This window comes from Homo sapiens, chromosome 8 (genome assembly GCF_000001405.40).
Source record: "Homo sapiens chromosome 8, GRCh38.p14 Primary Assembly".
Taxonomy (NCBI): Eukaryota; Metazoa; Chordata; class Mammalia; order Primates; family Hominidae; genus Homo; species Homo sapiens.
This window is the reverse complement of record NC_000008.11, coordinates 12,718,849-12,737,198: the sequence shown is the minus strand read 5'-3', so window position 1 is coordinate 12,737,198 and position 18,350 is coordinate 12,718,849. Positions and strand designations below refer to the sequence as shown.

At 38.7% G+C, this 18,350-nt stretch overlaps 1 protein-coding gene and 3 non-coding genes across 10 annotated transcripts in view, besides 1 other annotated feature; 2 read left to right on the top strand and 2 right to left on the bottom strand.

Moving 5' to 3' along the window:
* LONRF1 (LON peptidase N-terminal domain and ring finger 1) overlaps window positions 1-15,293 on the top strand; it is a 33,621-nt gene extending 18,328 nt beyond the window's left edge. For 2 of the 7 annotated variants that reach the window (NM_001329976.2, XM_047422414.1), the window contains exons 5-12: window positions 59-299; window positions 435-498; window positions 1,799-1,913; window positions 5,342-5,463; window positions 7,867-8,025; window positions 8,136-8,298; window positions 11,320-11,472; window positions 13,945-15,293. In NM_001329976.2, the coding sequence (NP_001316905.1) occupies window positions 59-299; window positions 435-498; window positions 1,799-1,913; window positions 5,342-5,463; window positions 7,867-8,025; window positions 8,136-8,298; window positions 11,320-11,472; window positions 13,945-14,103 (1,176 nt within the window). In that variant the 3' untranslated portion in view covers window positions 14,104-15,293. Of the gene's footprint in view, window positions 1-58; window positions 300-401; window positions 499-1,798; window positions 1,914-5,341; window positions 5,464-7,866; window positions 8,026-8,135; window positions 8,299-11,319; window positions 11,473-13,944 lie in introns of those variants that run through there. The other 5 variants (NM_152271.5, XM_011544694.4, NR_138256.2 and 2 more) reach the window with 4 other exon arrangements.
* On the top strand, window positions 9,895-9,967 carry MIR3926-1 (microRNA 3926-1). Its single transcript, NR_037492.1, has one exon. It is a non-coding gene; the product is annotated as a microRNA 3926-1 (primary transcript).
* On the bottom strand, window positions 9,900-9,962 carry MIR3926-2 (microRNA 3926-2). The gene has a single exon (NR_037495.1). It is a non-coding gene; the product is annotated as a microRNA 3926-2 (primary transcript).
* Window positions 10,348-10,397: an enhancer, noted in NCBI's record as "active region_27042". NCBI's record gives its function as "activates an Ori minimal core promoter by ATAC-STARR-seq in GM12878 lymphoblastoid cells {active_cell/tissue: GM12878}" and the evidence as "EXISTENCE:reporter gene assay evidence [ECO:0000049][PMID:35858748]".
* A 2,715-nt stretch (window positions 15,294-18,008) lies between the features above and the next one.
* MIR5692A2 (microRNA 5692a-2) lies at window positions 18,009-18,067 on the bottom strand. Its single transcript, NR_049876.1, has one exon. It is a non-coding gene; the product is annotated as a microRNA 5692a-2 (primary transcript).
* Between the last annotated feature and the right edge of the window lie 283 nt (window positions 18,068-18,350).

Genomic DNA, 18,350 nt, shown 5'->3' with positions numbered 1-18,350 from the left:
GAGAGGAATAAAGGATAGTAAAGAAATACAGTTACCTTTGTTTATTGTATTTTTGTAGAGTGAAGAAATACCAGAGGTCACTTCAGAGCCTGTCAAAGGAAGCTTAAACCGTGCTCAGTCAGCACAGTCTATAAATTCAACAGAAATGCCTGCCAGAGAGGACTGTTTAAAAAGAGTGTCCTCAGAACCTGTTCTGTCAGTTCAAGAAAAAGGTGTTCTGCTGAAAAGAAAGTTGTCTCTTTTAGAACAGGATGTGATTGTAAATGAAGATGGAAGAAATAAGCTGAAAAAACAAGGAGGTAAAAATTTTGCTCTACACTTATATAAAATAAATTTATTTAGTCAGAATAGTCTTTAAAGTTTTTCCTAAGGAAGAAAACCCCATGTCTTTGTTTTAATAGAAACTCCCAATGAAGTCTGTATGTTTTCCTTAGCTTATGGTGATATTCCAGAAGAATTAATCGATGTCTCAGATTTCGAGTGTTCTCTCTGCATGAGGTAAGCATATAAAACTTTATAGAAGATGAATATTTTATGTTAGTATACATAAAATACCGTGTAGATAAAGGTAATAATAGACAATGTAAAGTAACACAATGCTGGAATAAAAATCAAAAGACATGAATTTTAGTCCTGGGTTTACCTTTCATGCCTTGGGCAAATAACTGAATCTCTGAACCTCAGGTTTCCTAATTTAGAAAGTGGGATCAAGCTTTGCATGGCCTACATCTCATTGTTGTGAGAATCACATGGCTTCAGTATAAAAGGAATCTGGGAAATTGTAAAGTACTAAGAAAGTTATAGATGATATTATTTTTGAAACTTACCTATCTCCATGGTTTTAAATTTGGGTATGAATTCTAATTAGTATTTTATGTATATGATCCTATCTTATTAATGTATATTAACCATAAAGTCTTTTTAAAGTAACATAAGGATAAGGATTTCCATTATTCAGAATGCTATAATTCTAAAAGACTAAATGTTTTGAAATAACATTTCTCATTTACATGAATTGTGTAGGATCAAAAGATTCATACGGGGTCAGGAGGCCTAGTGCTGGTCACACTAGGCTGGTAGCAGTTACATTCCTGAGCAAGTCTTAATTCTGAGCCTTGGTTTCTTCATCTGTGAAGTGAGGGGATTATACTAAACAGTCCCTAAAGTACCTCTAAATCTATTTCTAGCAAATTCAAAACTATCATGTTTCAGAAAATAAGTAAAACTAGTTGTTCTGTAATGTTTGAATAATACATTTAGTATTAAGTCTAACATTAGGATTCAACTGCATTATTTATTAGGTCATTCTTTTTATGAGTTTTATATCATAAGGGTCTTATAAACCTATTAAGGAATCATTTTTAAGTTGATATTAAAATGGGAATCTAAAGGCTATACAAAAGCTAACTAATGATTTTTAATGATGTATTTTACATTATTTATTTTGCAGAAAGTCTTTGAAATCTGGTATGTATTTTACATTCAGTGCACATATCAGCTTGTACTAGCCACATTTCAAGTGATTAGTAGCCATAGTGTCCAGGGGCTGTTGCGTTAGTCAGGACAGCTCTAGGCCCTTGGCTCTAGGCCTTTGGCAGGAGGCCTTTGTTGATGGAGAATTTTAAAACATTCTGGAGGGTATGGTTACACTTATCACTGCCCTTTCTCTCCTCTCCTGCCTGCTGGGCCCTCCTTCTTCCTCCTTTAAATAGAGATTAGTGTTATGGTTCTAAAGTAGTACAAGCTTTTCAGTGGATAGTTTAATGTGAAAACTAACATGTATCTTGGTTGATTTCAGGTTGTTTTTTGAGCCAGTAACAACCCCTTGCGGACATTCGTTCTGTAAGAATTGTCTTGAGCGTTGTTTAGATCATGCACCATATTGTCCTCTTTGCAAAGAAAGCTTAAAAGAGGTAAATATTTGTATATGTGTCTGTTTGTTGGTCTTAAGTTTGGCAGCATGGTTTAATTTCTGTTCAGCCATAGAAATAGTGATGATCACGTTCAGAATTACATTCTATATTCTGAGTGACTAACAAGGATAATGTTTTATTACCCATATGCTAATGTTGGAGAAAAGTGAGGTTGAAGAGGATGGGGAGAAAGAAGACAGATGCTGAAGACCAACCCCCTTGTACTTAATTTTTTTTTTTTAAACAAAAGTGGGTATGGTTAGTTATCTGGTCAGGGATAAGTTCAATTTTGGTGATGACTATACTGGGGAAACCCTATTGCCCTGCCTCCAACCCTCAATAATAAGCCAGATGTGAGGACTGTTTCAGCTTCCTCAACATCTAGAACAACTTTGTTCAATAGAATTTTCTGCATTGATGGAAATGTTCCATATCTTTGCTGTCAGATATATTAGCCATTAGCCATGTTTGCCTGTTAAGCTTTTAAATATGGTTAGTGTCACTGAGGAACTATATTTACATTTTATTAACTTAAATTTAAGTAGGCACATGTGACTAATGGCTGCGACATTGGGCAATGCAGCTCTAGAAAAGTGGTAGATTGGAAAGAAGAGAGGGAGGTACAGCTTCCTATTCCCCTTCTTGTAGAGTCAGTGATCAGTGCTAATAACCTGTGATAGGAAAGTAGCTAGATCTCAGTGGATGTCTTCTCTAATTGATGAGAAGAGAGCACCCTCTTAATCATGCTTGAGTGACTGCAGATCACCTACTGTCAGGCTAAAGCCTGTGATTCTGAGAGGCAATTGCAGTTTGTAGCGTTGATTGGGGAAAGTGATTCTGTCTCTGGTGATTGACAGGATTGCTTAAAAAAAAGTATCTTCCAAATATGAATTGAAAAATTCATAAAACCATTATGAATATACATACAGTATTTCCTGTATAGAAAACAACTCAGTACGGATGTCATAATAGCATGTCTGTTATTACATTTGATATGTGTCTTACATATATAACAAGCTGATATGTAAAACAAAAGCATATTTAGAATTTTCTCAAAGTCAGGAAACATCAGATACATTTATTCTTAAAAGAGTTTGTTAGTTACATTTTTAGCTAATATGCTCAATGTTTTTAGATGAAGTACTGTAAACATGCTATTTTTCCAGACTTCATTTAAATACCCCCCCAGGATAACTATGATGCTTGTTTTTCCAGATTAACTGTTAGGTTGGTGCAAAAGTAATTGTGGTTTTTGGCATAATATTAGATCTATTGCTTTGATTAGGGATATTCCCTCTTTAAAAAATGTCTGGAGATTGAAAAATATATACTAAGCATATTTTTTGAAAGTATAACTAACATACTATTTAGCAATATCCTGTTTCCAACTTTGAAGATACCCTGCGTAATATAATTTGTAAATTCAAAATACATATACTTTAAAAAAGATTGGTATGCTGTTCAGTTTTACATTTTTCCTACTTGTCATTTTATTTTGCTCATTTTTCCATTTCCATCTATTTTAGATACATTGTTTTTATAGCAGCATAATAGTCCAGTGATTTAACATTTCTTTGTTGTTGGATATATAAGGTTTCTTGTTCTCTTTTTTATATACTATGCTTTTGCCAACATCATTTAAAATGAATGATTTTATGCATCTTTATGTAATCGAAGATATTATGACAGATATTATATATCTGTCACTGAAGGACAGAGTTGAGGTCTGCTCCTCTACTCAGTAGTGGGTGACAATGGAAGAAAAACTTGAAAGAAAAATTATCTACAGACTGTGTCTGAAATTGGGAACAAAACAGATGTTTTGCTTTTCTTAAATAAGGCAATAACCATTTCCTTAGGTTAAATTTTTGGGAGGTGAATTATTGGATCAAAAGCCATATATTTATGAAGCCCTTAAAACCAATTGTTGGATTGCCTCATCCCCAGAAATGTTACATTTATTGAGATTTTTATCAGTAATGTAAGAGTGGCTGTATTTCCCTAGATGTTTAAACATCTTTATTAACTTAATAGAAAATGATAATGGAATTGCTTTTATGACAGCTAATTTGATTAATTTTGTGATAAACACTTATTATCTGTGTATATACTACCTGCCCAAGGCCACCTCTCCCCATGCTCCCCTGACCAGCAGCATCTGTCACCTGACAACTTGTTAGAAACATAGATTCTTGGACCCTACCCCAGATGCTCAGAGACTCTGGCGTGGGGCTCAGTAGTCTGTATTTTAACAAGCCGCGATTCATGCTAAACTTTGAAAACCACCACCAGTTTCCCAACCTCTCGCATTTCCCCATCTACTCTTCATTGGATAATGACAAAACCCTTGCTTTTACTGACTGCAGATTCAAGGATGGCTTCATCTTGTGATAGTTTCCCAGGAGGTTTTCCTCACTAATTTTATGAAATAAATATGTATTGGGCATTTTCTTTGTACAAAGTTCTGTGCATACACCCTGACCATGTCCCTGGCCCTACCCTAAGCAATTTTTAGTTTAACTACAGAGATGTAATATATCTGTGTACATATACTACACGCTACAATGCCTACTATGTGGTAAAAACAGTAAAATATGGGTTCTTGGGAGAGAAAAAAATAATTAAGGAAGAGTTTGTGAAAAAGGTAAAATTGGAGTCAGACCTTGAAGGATAGACATGTTTTGCATAAGCAGGAGTGAGAGAGATGGCTTTTGTAAGTTGGAATAGAGAATAACACAAAAATGCATGAGGATAGTACTTTTTCAGAGTATTTAGGGGTCAGCGCAAATGTAAGATTTTATATAGAGCTGGGGTAGATGGATCATACAGGAAAAGCAATATCTTGATAAGGGTCTGAGTGATAGTGTCCCAAGAAACGCACCTTCCTTGGGTCACTCAAGGACAGAGTTGAGGTCTGCTCCTCTACTCAATAGTGGGTGACAATGGAAGAAAAATCTGAAAGAAAATTTATCTAGAGACTGTGTCTGAAATTGGGAACAAAACAGATGTTTTGCTTTTCTTAAATAAGGCAAATGTGTTATTTTATTTATTCCTTATCCCGTTTTTGTATCTCAGTTAAAATGATAGTTTAGTGCCCATGAGCTGTCAGGTGGAAAAGGGCCTCTGTTGTGGAAGACGGCAGGGCAGGGCCCTCTGCGGCTAATAGAGAAGCTGTGGTCACAGCAGGAAGCAGTTCTTCTGTACAGGGCTTGGTTCAGGTTGCAGCCAACTATCTTTACTGCTCTTGTGCAAAGCCTCAGACAGGTTTTTTTGCTTAGCATCATCCATTGTAATGTTCCCCTCACTAATTAATCCAGAATTGATGGTATAAGTATGTAATAAAGGCTTTAATATATCAGTTAACTGTGTTGCCTGTTTTATACTGTAGGAAAACCACTGCTGGAATGTAAAATAATATTGTCTTTTAGTATCTAGCAGATAGGAGGTACTGTGTCACACAGCTGTTGGAAGAATTAATAGTGAAGTATCTGCCTGATGAACTGTCTGAGAGAAAAAAAATATATGATGAAGAAACTGCTGAACTCTCACAGTAAGTTTCTTCTCATAAAAAAAATTATGAACTACTACCCTTTAATAGTAAGGAAAAACCTCACCGCAAGCTGGATCCTGTCTTTAGTTCATCTCAGTCTAGTCAAGAAGTATTGGTCTGTTTCCGTGGTCCTCAACAGACAGAATCTTATAAAAGTTCACTTGGTAACATCCGGATGTTTTATAGGGAGTTATTGACTCAGCTCTGTGGGCTGAAGCAGTATTTTGGGCGGGGGAGGAATTTCCTACAGTGCCATCAGGCAGTGGAATGGGAAATAGAGAGGGGGCGCTGGTGACAGTGACATTGGTGGTGATGGCGGCTCTCATGTGTCGTGGTAGGGCAAGAGGAAGGTTGAGGGTCAGTAGCCTAGATTAGCAGGGGATTTTCTGTCACATGGAGGCCCGGAAGGGGGCTTTCCAAACTTTGAGATCTGAGATTGAAATTGGAAGAGGGGTGTTCAGGGCCAAATCCTCAATTAATGAAGATACTGACTGGGAGCACAACTGAGTTGGTGTCGGGAGGGTGAAAATCTCGGAGGCAACTTTGGGATTCGGTAAGGCAGGCCACTCTGCAAAGAACACAGCAGCTGATGGAGCTGGGTAGGCAGGGCCAGGCATTGCTTGTTGTCCCTTTTCTGTTTTTCTTTCCCGTTTTTCTCCCTTTCTTTTCCCTAAATGTCTTTCCCTCTTGTGCAGTCACTTGGGTCTCTTTAAATTTTATTAACGGGTTTTTAATTTCTTTATTTCTTTTACTCTCTTTTAATTGAACACACTAAAAAACAAAATTATAATTTGTATATGCTGTTTTATTTAACAACTTTTTGTTTCCATTGATTTTCAAAATATAAATTGAACATTTTGTATGTCACTTTCTAAGAAAAGCTGTGCTTGTAGACTCCTTTATCAACATGTGCCCATCAGATGTCTTCAGTGAGCCAGGTGCCTTCCACAGAAGAAAGATTTCCACTCTTTATAGAAATAGATATTGATTTGTCTTCTCACAGAATTGATATTTTATTGTGTGGTTTATAAAATGATATGACAATTATGAACCTTTCTGATCAGTGCTGAAGCATCTAGATTTAAGAAAACTGCATTTCTGCTTTTGAAAATTTAAACATGGTGACACAACCAGCCAGCCCACGGAAGAGTGGTAGACTCAAAGGACAGAGGAGGGAGACACACAGAGAGCTGCGCATTGGAGAGAAGAGAAGCGACAGGGTGTCCAGCTGCTTACTAATGGGGCTGTTTCTTAAAACACATATTTTAAACATGTTTCACCTTATGTTTATATAAGTAATTGATGGTCATTTTGAAAAAAACTCAAAAATACAAATGAGCTTTTAAAAAAAGCCATAATCTGCAACTCAAAGGGAATCAACTATTGGCATTTTGGCATACATATTTCCAAACTTGAATGTAGTATGTATAAATAGGCTTTAAACAAAGATGGGATCATGTTATTCATGATCAGTATCTAAAACCTGCTCCTCTCATTAATATAAGCATTTCTTCTAATTCAGTTCATACACATCATCTTTTAATGGAAACATAGTATTCCGTTTTATGGATGTACCATAATTGATCTTACTAGTCTCCTCTTTATGATTCTACAATTTGGTTACTATCCACATTGCTACAGTGAACATTCATATAGCACTTGCCTGCTTATGTCTGAAAATAAGCTGGTTGGTTCCAAGAACATGAACATTTCCTGCCAACAACGTAAGGTTTCTGCTGTCTGTAGCCATGTTCTTTAGCGTGCCTGTGCTGTTTCAGAGTGCCCCCATGCTGCCATTTTTCCCATACCTCAGACAGAACTGGGCATTGCCTTTATCCTTCTCTTTCTTTCTACCAATCTGGCAATGAAAAATGTTATATCATTTTAATTACTTGGAAAAAATGTTATCTCATCAAAATATGTTTTCTTATCCTTGCGTTTGAAAATAATGGCTGAGAATTTTTAAGTATTTGCTCTTTGTTGTGGGAGTTCACTTTTTCTTGTTATCTAAGAGTAACTATGAGTGTTTGGGATAAAAGGTATTTATTGTCATGTTATAAATATTTAAAACAGATTTTAATATAAAATATTACTTATAATAAATTCTCTTGATTCATAAACATACTTAGCTCTGTAAGATAATCTGGTGTCTTAAAATTCAGTTTACTCTTATAAATAAGAGGATCACAGCAGATTTTCAGTATTAATATTTCATCAGTGTGAGCTTAGTGAACGGGGTGCTGATTCTTGTTCTTGCCAAGAATAAAAACCACCTTATTTAGAACTAATTCTTTTTTTGCTTTACATTAGTTCATTACTGTTATAAACCTCACTCATTTTTTGTATGTGTTCGGTAATATTTTTCTTGTATGAATTCTAATAATTAAACTGTTTTTCCCTTAGCTTGACCAAGAATGTTCCAATATTTGTTTGCACTATGGCCTACCCCACTGTGCCTTGCCCTCTCCATGTATTTGAGCCAAGATACAGATTGATGATTCGAAGAAGTATACAGACTGGAACCAAACAGTTTGGCATGTGTGTCAGTGATACACAAAATAGGTATGCTTTTTGTGAACCTAAATATTTGTATTTATGTTAGACCTCTCAATATGGATGAGAACTTGCATGTTTATGTTTCAACTTTGTTACTAATCAAGGTTTTCTTTTAGTTTTGCAGATTATGGTTGTATGTTACAAATTAGAAACGTGCATTTCTTACCGGACGGAAGGTCTGTGGTTGATACAGTTGGAGGAAAGCGGTTTAGGGTTTTAAAAAGAGGAATGAAAGATGGATATTGCACTGCCGACATTGAATATCTGGAAGATGTTAAGGTATTTTAAAATGTGCTTTGCCAGCATACTTTCGTATATCCTGTTCCAGGGATTGGTACAGGCATGCAGGCTATTTTCTAGGTGCATGAACCAGTTCTTATCAGACAGCCTTACCACTGTGATGAGAATGTGCTCCAAGTTACCTTTTTCGTATCTTGCTCTGAAACTGTTGCACATTCTAAGAGAACTTGGAAGACTAGAACATAGATTCTCTTTATTTCTGCAGGCTTAACAACCAGCCCAGTGCCTAGAATGTATGTGTATATGTACACATGTGCATGTGTGTATACACGTGATAGGTACTTAACAATAGTGGTTGAATAAGTTGAACTTCCAACCCATCTAAGTTTTGAAAGGTTTACATTTCTGCCCTGTTTTATTGAATGTATTAGTAGTTGAAGCCGATGGAATTAGTAGATTGAAATTTGATGTAAATGTAAACACATCAAATCTTATAAGAATTGTTTTATATATTAAGATTGTTCTTGTGCCTAAGATAACCTTAATGATAAAATAGAGTTGAATGCTGTGTGAAGACCCTGGGGCAGACATAGAAAGCACTGCCAGTGTACATGTTGGTGATATCTTAACAGGGTAGGGTTTTTGTGATGTCTTTCTAGAATAGGGTTAATGTGGCCCTTTTGATGTTTGCAATACCCAGTTTACCTACTGCAGTTAGTTTAGGAACCGGAAAAGTGACTTATGATGCTACAAATACCAAATTGAAGGCAATTTCTTTTGGAAAGGCATTATAAAAACATAGATCTTATCCCTTCTCTTATTCATTGATCTGTTTAGGCCCTTCATTTCGTCAGCATTTATTGGATATTGGCATTAGGTATTTTCACAAACATTAACTCATAGAATTTTCACAACTCTATGAAATAGTAGATGAGGAAAGTACAATTCAGAGGTGTTAATTAATTTGCCTGAGAGCCTATAGATAATGTAACAAAAATGATTAAAGCAAACTGTCTGACTCAGACTTTGAGCTTTATCACTATGCCATTTGGCTCTCTGTTGATAAACCTGATTAGTCTGACGTTGGCAGTCCTATCTTATTATAAAAATGCTATGGGGGTACTTTGTCTTGTGCAGTTGGCCGAAAGTATTGTGTGAGTTGAAATTTTGAGTTGATTGATAGAATCTGTGCCTTAGGCATACTTGGTTAATGGAATCACTTGCTAAAGGTTCTTCTTTGTAAAGTTAATAACCATATTTCAGTTTTGTGTAAATTTATGTCTTCACTTATTGGATTTGATGACAAAATCACTTGAGTATATGGCTAAATTACATGACTATATGTATTAATACTTACAAACATGTAGGCAATAGAATCACATTCTAAAAGTATTACAGATATGATATTTATAAACGAGTCCTCTTTGGTCCTCGGAATGTCTAGTAATCTTTTCTCATCATGTCTTCATCTATATAATGATTTTCTTGTCCATTCTGGAAAACCTTCTCAAATTTGTTTTATATGGCAAATTTTCCTCTTCTTATAATAATTCTGTTTTCTGTGACTTCTAATGAAATTTTAAGTTCTGTTAAAATTATCACAGTAAAGTTCCTTGACTTTAAAAGCTTGCTTTTAAAATGGAGCTGGCCAAAAAGCAGGCAGAGACTTTAAAAGCGTCTCTGCCTGCTTTTTGGCCAGCTCCGTTTTTCATCACTGACGCTTATAATTGTTATCATTCCTTGTTTACCAGAGCCTGTCATTTGTTTTCTTGAATTTTGTGAGGGTGCAGAGCAGATGCTTTAAAAAAAAAAAAAAAAAAGATTTAACAAGGCATAAGTTTGTTTCTTGCTCCTATCAATGTATGTTAGCAGGGGCCTGAATCATGTATAGTCATTTCAGGACCAAAATTCTTCAATTGTGTGGCTCCTCTACCTTTTTTAAAAGTTTATTTTTATTGTGGTAAAATATACATAGAATTTACCATTTTAACCATCTTTGAGTGCACACAGTGGCATTAAGTACATTCACATTGTTATGCAAAAAACAGATGCTCTTTAAACTTTAGTTTTCATTTCAAATCTTTCAAAAGTAAAAAGTTTGCTTTTTTGTCTCTGGTGTGCTGTAGTCTTATTTTTATATTTCGAAATGTTTTCAGAGTCCCTTTGTTGTTTTTAAATGAGTCATCCTTGAAGTATGAAAGGCTGAGTCAGGCCTGGTATTTTTTCAGATGAGTTTGTGCATATGAGACAGAGCACGACCTGGCAAGTAGCAAGTGGGATGTAAGTGTGCATTAAAGAAATCAGTATAAGATGGATGAGTTAAACTTAGATCTTCCCACCTGTGTTCTCTGAGACTACTCTTCTATCTCAGGCTGGAAGCCTGATGCAATTAATTTTACATTTGCAGTTTGGTGACCCAGTAGTCTAAAGAATACACTGAGGGGTTCCAGAGGTAGCCATAGCCTTGGGCCTTGCCAGCAGAAGCTCATCATTGTGTAATTGACTCTCTGACATACTGGCTTTATATGCTAACTTATTTGTTGTAGCTTTTTGTTTGTTTTTGTGTTTTGACCCAGTTCCCTAGTAAAAGATGTAACTGTGCCTGGACTCCTCCTGTTACTACTTTCTGTCATGTCATCTACACCCTAACTACTTATCTTTTCTTTTTTTGTAGCAACTATCATCCACTTTTTTGTTCCACTGCTTTCAAAAACCATTGATCCATAAAGACAAATGGAATTCCAAATTAGACCTCTGAACCAGAACTCACTCTCAATCTTACTCTTCCCACTTGAGGGCTGTTGTAGGGTTCTGCAATATTGCACTGCTAAGTCAGCAAGGTTAGGCATAGGTCAGGCCTTGTTGTCTTTCTTTAGTCTGGTCAGCCCTATATGAGACAGAAATGTGTATTAAAGCATAGGAATAATACTCTCTGGGACGTCAGCACTGAAACAGGTATTGCCCTGTTCTTCTGATCCCTTTTTCCATTTGTGTCGGTTGGCATATGGCATATGGACGGGGGATTAGACACAGAAGTCTTACTGACTATTGTATTTCTAGGTTGAGAATGAAGATGAGATTAAGAATCTCAGAGAGCTTCATGATTTGGTTTACTCTCAAGCCTGCAGCTGGTTTCAGAATTTAAGAGACAGATTTCGAAGCCAAATTCTTCAGCATTTCGGATCAATGCCCGAGAGGGAGGAAAACCTTCAGGTATGGTGGCTTTTCTGTTCTTCCAAAAGTCACTTTTTTATAAACCCAAATTTGCACACTTCTACATTTGTTTTCTCATTGTCCTTTCTGCACTACTTTTTCTTTGACTGTCCCCTCCCCCGCACCAGCCCCACCTCATCTTTGCAATCATGAGTTCTCTAGAGCAGTGGTCTCCACTACATTCCGTACAGATAGAGGCTGGAAATACGTGTCAGCTGAGATGCCTGTAGGAGAGAGTGCCAGAAAGGGAGCAAGTCCTTAAGAGGATTTTTAGGAGTGGGTAAGGAATTAAAAACGGGATGTTACTATCTAGAAACTGTGACTGTGGGACAACTAACCATGCCTTTGAGCCCATCGCCTGTTGCTGTTATTCTTTGACAGCAGAGAGACTTACCATTTTCTATACATTTGAAACATCTTTTCTCACCTTTCTTTGTATCTCCCAACATTTGACCCAACCACTTCAATTCATTTTTGTCTCTTCATGTTTAATACCTCGCTTCTCATGAAACTATTATTCTTTTAGTCTTGCAGGTACTTAGGGTTTACACTTAAGCTTAGTCTAATGAATGTGTATCTGGCACTTTCTGTGCAAGCAAAACTGCAGGAGGCATAAAAGAAGGGTCTGGCTCCTGGAAAATCTGATCATAGACTTACTAAAGCACTACGTTTTAGGCATCGTAGCATTTTGAATTGAACTAAATGTTTTTGATCAGAAGGTGATAGATTTTACAAAGGAATGGCTGTCAGTAAATATGTGAAGATGGAGAGATAATAGATCTCATTGTAATGCACACTGCCTCATTCCCGTTTTCAAGGGTTGGTCTACATTTGTCTGAATCCCAATTGAATCCTTCACCTGAACTTGAAACACCAACATTAGGCCATCTCCAAATTTAGTATTCATTCTGTTTAGCATATTATCAGTTGCCATCTATTTGTTTTAACTGATTACTTGAATCTGATTAAACATCACAGAAATGGGCTTTGATAAGAACAATATTGAATAAGAAATTTTAAATAACAAAACAGCTTATAGAAAAATTCAGCATAACTTTTCCATCACCTTCACCACCCTTGCCTTTTATTATCCTGTCCTGTATCACTGCTTTCTGTTAGCAGTGTTGTGTGAGTTAGGATTTGGGCAGGAAAGCAAAAGCAACCACCCGTCATTTTCCCAGAATGAAGGGTTTGACGTAGGATGTAGACTTTGTATAGTAGTTGGGAGAGCTGTGGGAGTGAAGGTCAGGGATGTCACCTACAGAAGTCAGGGAATCTGCCACCAGAGATCCTGCATCAGAAACAGCCAACAGCGTGCTTCTGAAGAACTAGTGGGGAAGTGGCTATAATTCTTAGGAATCCCAGCAAGTCTGCACCACTGTCTCAGTCTACAGCAGTGGAGAAAGGGGTTTCCAGGAGCTCTCTGGAAAGTTCCTGCCCACACTTTGCAACAATCTTCAGAGGATAATGGCTTCTCTTCCAGCTTCCACACCCAACAAGAGTGCCTTTCATCGGCCAACTCTAACCTGGAACCCTATGGCAGAGGGGATTTTAGAAGACAGTTTGTAATGTCTGTGGAATGCAGATGAAGAGGTAGCAATGCTTAGTTGACAGCGGACAATACACAAATATAGAAACCGAATCTGATTCTAGAGGGGCCTACTGAGATCAGCACTGATGTCGTAGCTCCTTTTGTCATTCTGAAGCTTTATATTTTAAGTCCGATAAATAGCAATTTAAGGTTCAGTGAAGGTGGCTTACAAGTCCTTTTATGGAAATTTCTAGTTGTTTCAATAGCCAATAGTCAGCCCTCACAGCATTACCAGGACCTTTTCACTGGAGATATGTTTCTTTTTTGAACAACATTGGAAGCTGGGGCCTTTTTCTTCTGTCTTTCCAAGGGTTCCATAATACTTTGAGGAAATTTTAAATCTCAATTAACATTTCTTAATGCTTTAAATCTATAGCTCAAGAAAGTGGCTGTCAACTAGGGGCATGTTGCCCCCACAGGATATTTGGCATTACCTGGAGACATTTTTGGCTGTCACAGCTGGATGGGAAGGTGCTACTGGCATCTGGTGGATAGAGATCAGAGGTGCTGCTGAATGTGCTCTAGTGCATAGGACAGCCACATGCAACAAAGAATTATCTGGCTCAAAGTGTCAGTAGCCTGAGGTCGAGAAGCCTTGCTAGTGTAATAGGAGGAAAGAGCGTGTGTTGACTGTGGGGAGTCAGGTCTAGATTTGAATCTCGGCTCTGCCACATAAGAGCCAAGAGATCTTGGACAATTTGCATTACATTGCTGAGCTTCAGTTTCTCCCATTTTATACTTTGCATAATTGTTAAGGACATTGGAGATAGCACCTGGCACATAGTACAAGTGCTCAATAAATAGTAATTTTTTGGTGGTTTGCTACTGTTGTTACATAAATCCTTGTTTTATTAATGCTATAAACTGTCCATTGTTTTTAGGCAGCCCCTAATGGACCTGCATGGTGTTGGTGGCTTCTTGCAGTTCTCCCTGTAGACCCACGATACCAGCTGTCGGTTTTGTCAATGAAGTCTTTGAAAGAACGGTTGACCAAGATACAGCATATACTGACCTATTTTTCTAGAGACCAATCTAAGTAACTAACTCTTTGGATCTCCCTTTAAAGTGACCCTAATCTGGCTGCATTGATGGCCAGATTGTCTGCTGCCTTTGCACATCTAGTGCTGGTTTCAGAAATTTAATGAAACTTTTCTTTTTCCTTCGACCTCCTGAATCATGTGGTTCTGCAAATGAATACCTTCAACTAGGATTTAGACCACTAAGAACTTGCACAGAAAAACACGCATTGAATGTGTGTCGAACCTCTACATTGTGAAGTTGCACTATGTACCATACTCTAAAATGAAATAAGAACTCTTTATGTCTGTGAGAGAGTGTGTGTGTGTGTGTGCGTGCGTGTGTGCTTGTGGGGGTTGGGTAGTGTGTGTGTATTTTCTCTGGCTTTAAAATTTTAAAACAAACAAACAAAAAAGCCATAGAGAGCAGAACTTGCCGAGGGTCATTTATTGCCCAAGTTTACAAGAGTAGCGATACAAGTTTTTGCAAATTGAATTTGCCTCAGATATATCTGTCCTAATGCTTATATTTGCACAAGTATGTAAAATATCGTGTTGAGGATCATTCTTTGTTGGAAACACTGCTCTTGCTGAACTGTCTTGACCATTGACTATGACACAGTTTCTTATTTATGTAAATACTTGCATCACAGTGGCCGACAGGCATTGGATGCAGAACCTAGAGCCAGTTTTCAGGAACAATTGTAAACCTGACATGGTACTGTGCATCTATTCATAAAACACTCAAAACTGTGAAAATATGGTTTACATTTAATTGTACATAAAGGTAAAGGGAGAACTCAATTCAGTACCAGTTAGTTTGTACATTTTAGGGGGCTTTTCACATTAACTGCCCATTTGTGTAATTTATAGTTTGACATGATGTGTTTGTTTTAAAAAAAAATGCATAGTATAAACCCATTAAGGATCTGGGAAAAGAGAAGAAGTTTAATATAGAACTAAGCTTTTAAAGTTTGTTTTTGTTTTTAATTCTGGTCTCGGTGCAAATGTTAGTTATGCCTTATTCATATCACAGTTAGATCACCATGCTGCAACATGGTTTATATTCATGCTGCCCTAGAAACTTTTGTAATTATTTGTTGCAAATTTGTGACTGTCCTTATTAACTTTCTTTTATGTAAGTAATTTGTAAAAGTTTCTTAAAATTTTTGCTTTTGCTTATTTAATTTTGAATAAAAGCTAAATTCCTAATACTTTTTCTTAAATTGTAGGTCAGTGTTATAAAAACAAGTCAGTAGAAGAACCAAACTGCATATGTTAAAGAACAGATGAGTTTTGCTTATGGTTTGGTGGCATTAGATATATGCTATGGTTTCCAAAAACTTTGGCCATTTTTATTTTTTGAGAAAAAAAAAGCAATTTATTGAGGGTTTAGGCCTCGGAACCATCCCTAAAGCACTATTTTTCAACCTTTTAAAAATCCATGTCCCTTTAGGGTAAGGCTAAAATTCTTTCTTTGATGCCTCACCATTTGAGACTTCTCTTGGTTACACAGACTGGACTGTTTCTGCCCCCAGTTCCTCAGCTAGGATTTTGCAAATGTCAGTCAATCATCTTTTTTTTTTTAGAGACAGGATCTTGCTCTATGGCCAAGGCTGGAATGCAGTAGCACAATCATAACTTGCTGCAGCCTCAAACTCCTGGGCTCAAGTGATTTTCCTGTCACAGGATCCTTGGGGTGGCACTTTGCCAGCCAGAAATGTCTGTGGCCGGTGGTGCCTTCTGCCTGAGTAATGCTCATGCCCACTGGGCTTGTTCTGGCCACTCAGCCTGGCAGGCCGTGCTTGGCTTTTGCTACCAGCCCAGATCCCCCACCTGCCAAGAGCGAACCAGGCACGGAGCAGCGAGGGGTGTGTGGGCAAGTGCATGCAGGGTCCAGACACTGCACACAGCCAGGCACACCAGCTGCTGTGTTGGGGTGGGCACCTTCATGCGAGGTTGCAGCTGGACCAGATGCACCACGTGGCTTCCACTGCAGGCACCCACATCTGGACAAGGGGAACACTGTGGCACCCAGAAGCTTGGAGATGCCAGGAACCACAGAGCTCCAAAGAGGGTGTCACAGCCCTGGCTTAGGCACCCTTTAGGTCTGGACTCCCCAAATAGCTGTAGCTCTTCTTGTCACCCACAATGTGGTGAGTTGGGGTGCAAGGGGGGTATGTGTTTCAGCCCTGTTTGTGTTATAGTTCTTTCAGTTTCACCATTTAGCAAGTCCTGAGTTCTTTCCCTGCATCCAGGAAGAATGAGGTGGACAGACAACTGGAAGGTGAGCAAGGCAGAGAGGAGCTTCACTGAGTGATAGAACAGCTCTCAGGAGACCCAAAGTGGGTAGCTCCTTTCTGCAGGCAGGTCTTCCTGATTTGAGTGTCCAGCTTTCAGTGGAGAGAAGACCCTCAGTGGGTAGCTCTTTTCCACAGGCAGGTCATCCCATAGAGTGTCCAGTTCTCAGCAGAGAAGAGACCTGAAGTGGGTAGCTGTTTTCCACAAGCAGGTCATCCAGAAGAGTCAAGGAGACTCACAATGGGTAGCTCCTTCCTGCAGCTGGTAGTCCTGAGGGTCTGTTTGAGTCTTACTGACTCTAGGGTTTTTATGGGCTCAGGAGGGGAAGTGTGTGCTGATCGGTCCATGGGCGGCCATGGGTGGGCTGGGGAAAAAGCTCCATATGTACTCACTCCAGGCAGTGGACTCCAGCTGGAACTGGCAGCTCAGGCCCCAGGCTTCAGGCCATCCCTGGCTTGAAGGTGAGGTTTCACCAGGACCCACCCTTTTCCATCCTGCCACCATCAACATGCCATCCACAGCAACCAGGCTGTTCCTACCAAGAGGCACCGGCAGGCTTGTGCCAAACCGCCCTCAGGGCCCCCTTGGCCTCCCGCCCCTGCTTGTTGGTGCCCAAAATTCAAAGGGGGTCAAGGTGGTGGGACTGGTGTGTCAGCACCACCCCTAGCACGCACACATCCAGCCAGGTTGAGATAGCACCCGGGTTCAGCCTCAACTTTGCTCCAGAATTGGAGCAGGTGTCAGGAGAGGGGAGAAGCAGGAGCAGGCACTTCTGAGCCTGTGGGGCCAGGGGGGGCTTCCAGGAGTGCAGGCATGCCCAGGTCTGGAGCCATAGCTGGGTGGCTGCAACTGCATCCATGAGTGTGGGGCTCCTGCCCTGCCAACTCAGTAGGGGGTGGGGCTCCCACCTGTTCCCTCCCCTATTGGATCCACTGTGTAGTAGTGTGTAAACCTACGGTGATATTAAAAGTTATATCTCCCTAGGGTATTGCGAATAACATCACAGTGGGTGTACAACCACTCTGATATTCGAAGTAATACCTCCCTAAGATATGACAAAAAATATCAAAGCGTGGACCCAGTCGTGGCATCAAAAGTAACGTCTCTGTGGATATTCCGAATAATATCACAGGGTGTACACAGCCTGTGACATTAGGAGTAGCATCCCCATAAGATATTCCGAGTAATATCACAGGGTGTACACCCCATGTGACATTAAGGGTAACATCTTAGGATGTTACAAACAACATCACAGGGTGTATACCCCCTGTGACTTTTTAAGTAACATCCCCCTAGAATATTACGAAGAATATCATGGGTGTACACCCCGTGTGACATTAGGAGTAACATCTCCCTAGGATATTACGAAGAATACCACTGGGTGTACGCCCTCTGTCATATTAGGAGTGACATCCTTCTAGGACATTATGGATAATATCACAAGGTGTACACACACTGTGATATTCGGAGAGATATCTCCCTAGGATAGAAGGTATCATATCACAGAATGTACGTGCATGGTGTACACCTACTGTGATATTAGAAGCAATATCTCCCTATGAAAGTATGAGAAATACCAAAGGGAGTACACACTCTGTGCTATTAGATGTCATGTTTACCATGGATATTACAAATAATATCACAGGGTGTACACACATGAGGTACACCCACTGTGGTATTATTTGTACTGTCTTAGAGAGATATAACTCTCTAATATAACAGAGAGAGTTATAACTCTGTAATATCTCTGAGATATTACAAATAATATCACAGTGAGTGTAAACACAGTGTACATAGTGTACACCCACTGTGAGATTTACAGTAATATCTCCCTATAAGACTACAAATATTATCGAAGGGTGTACACCCCCTGTGACCGCAGGAGTAACATCCTTCTGGATATTGGGAATGATATCATAAGCCATACCCACCCTGTGACATTTTGTACACCCTTTGTGACATGAAAAGTC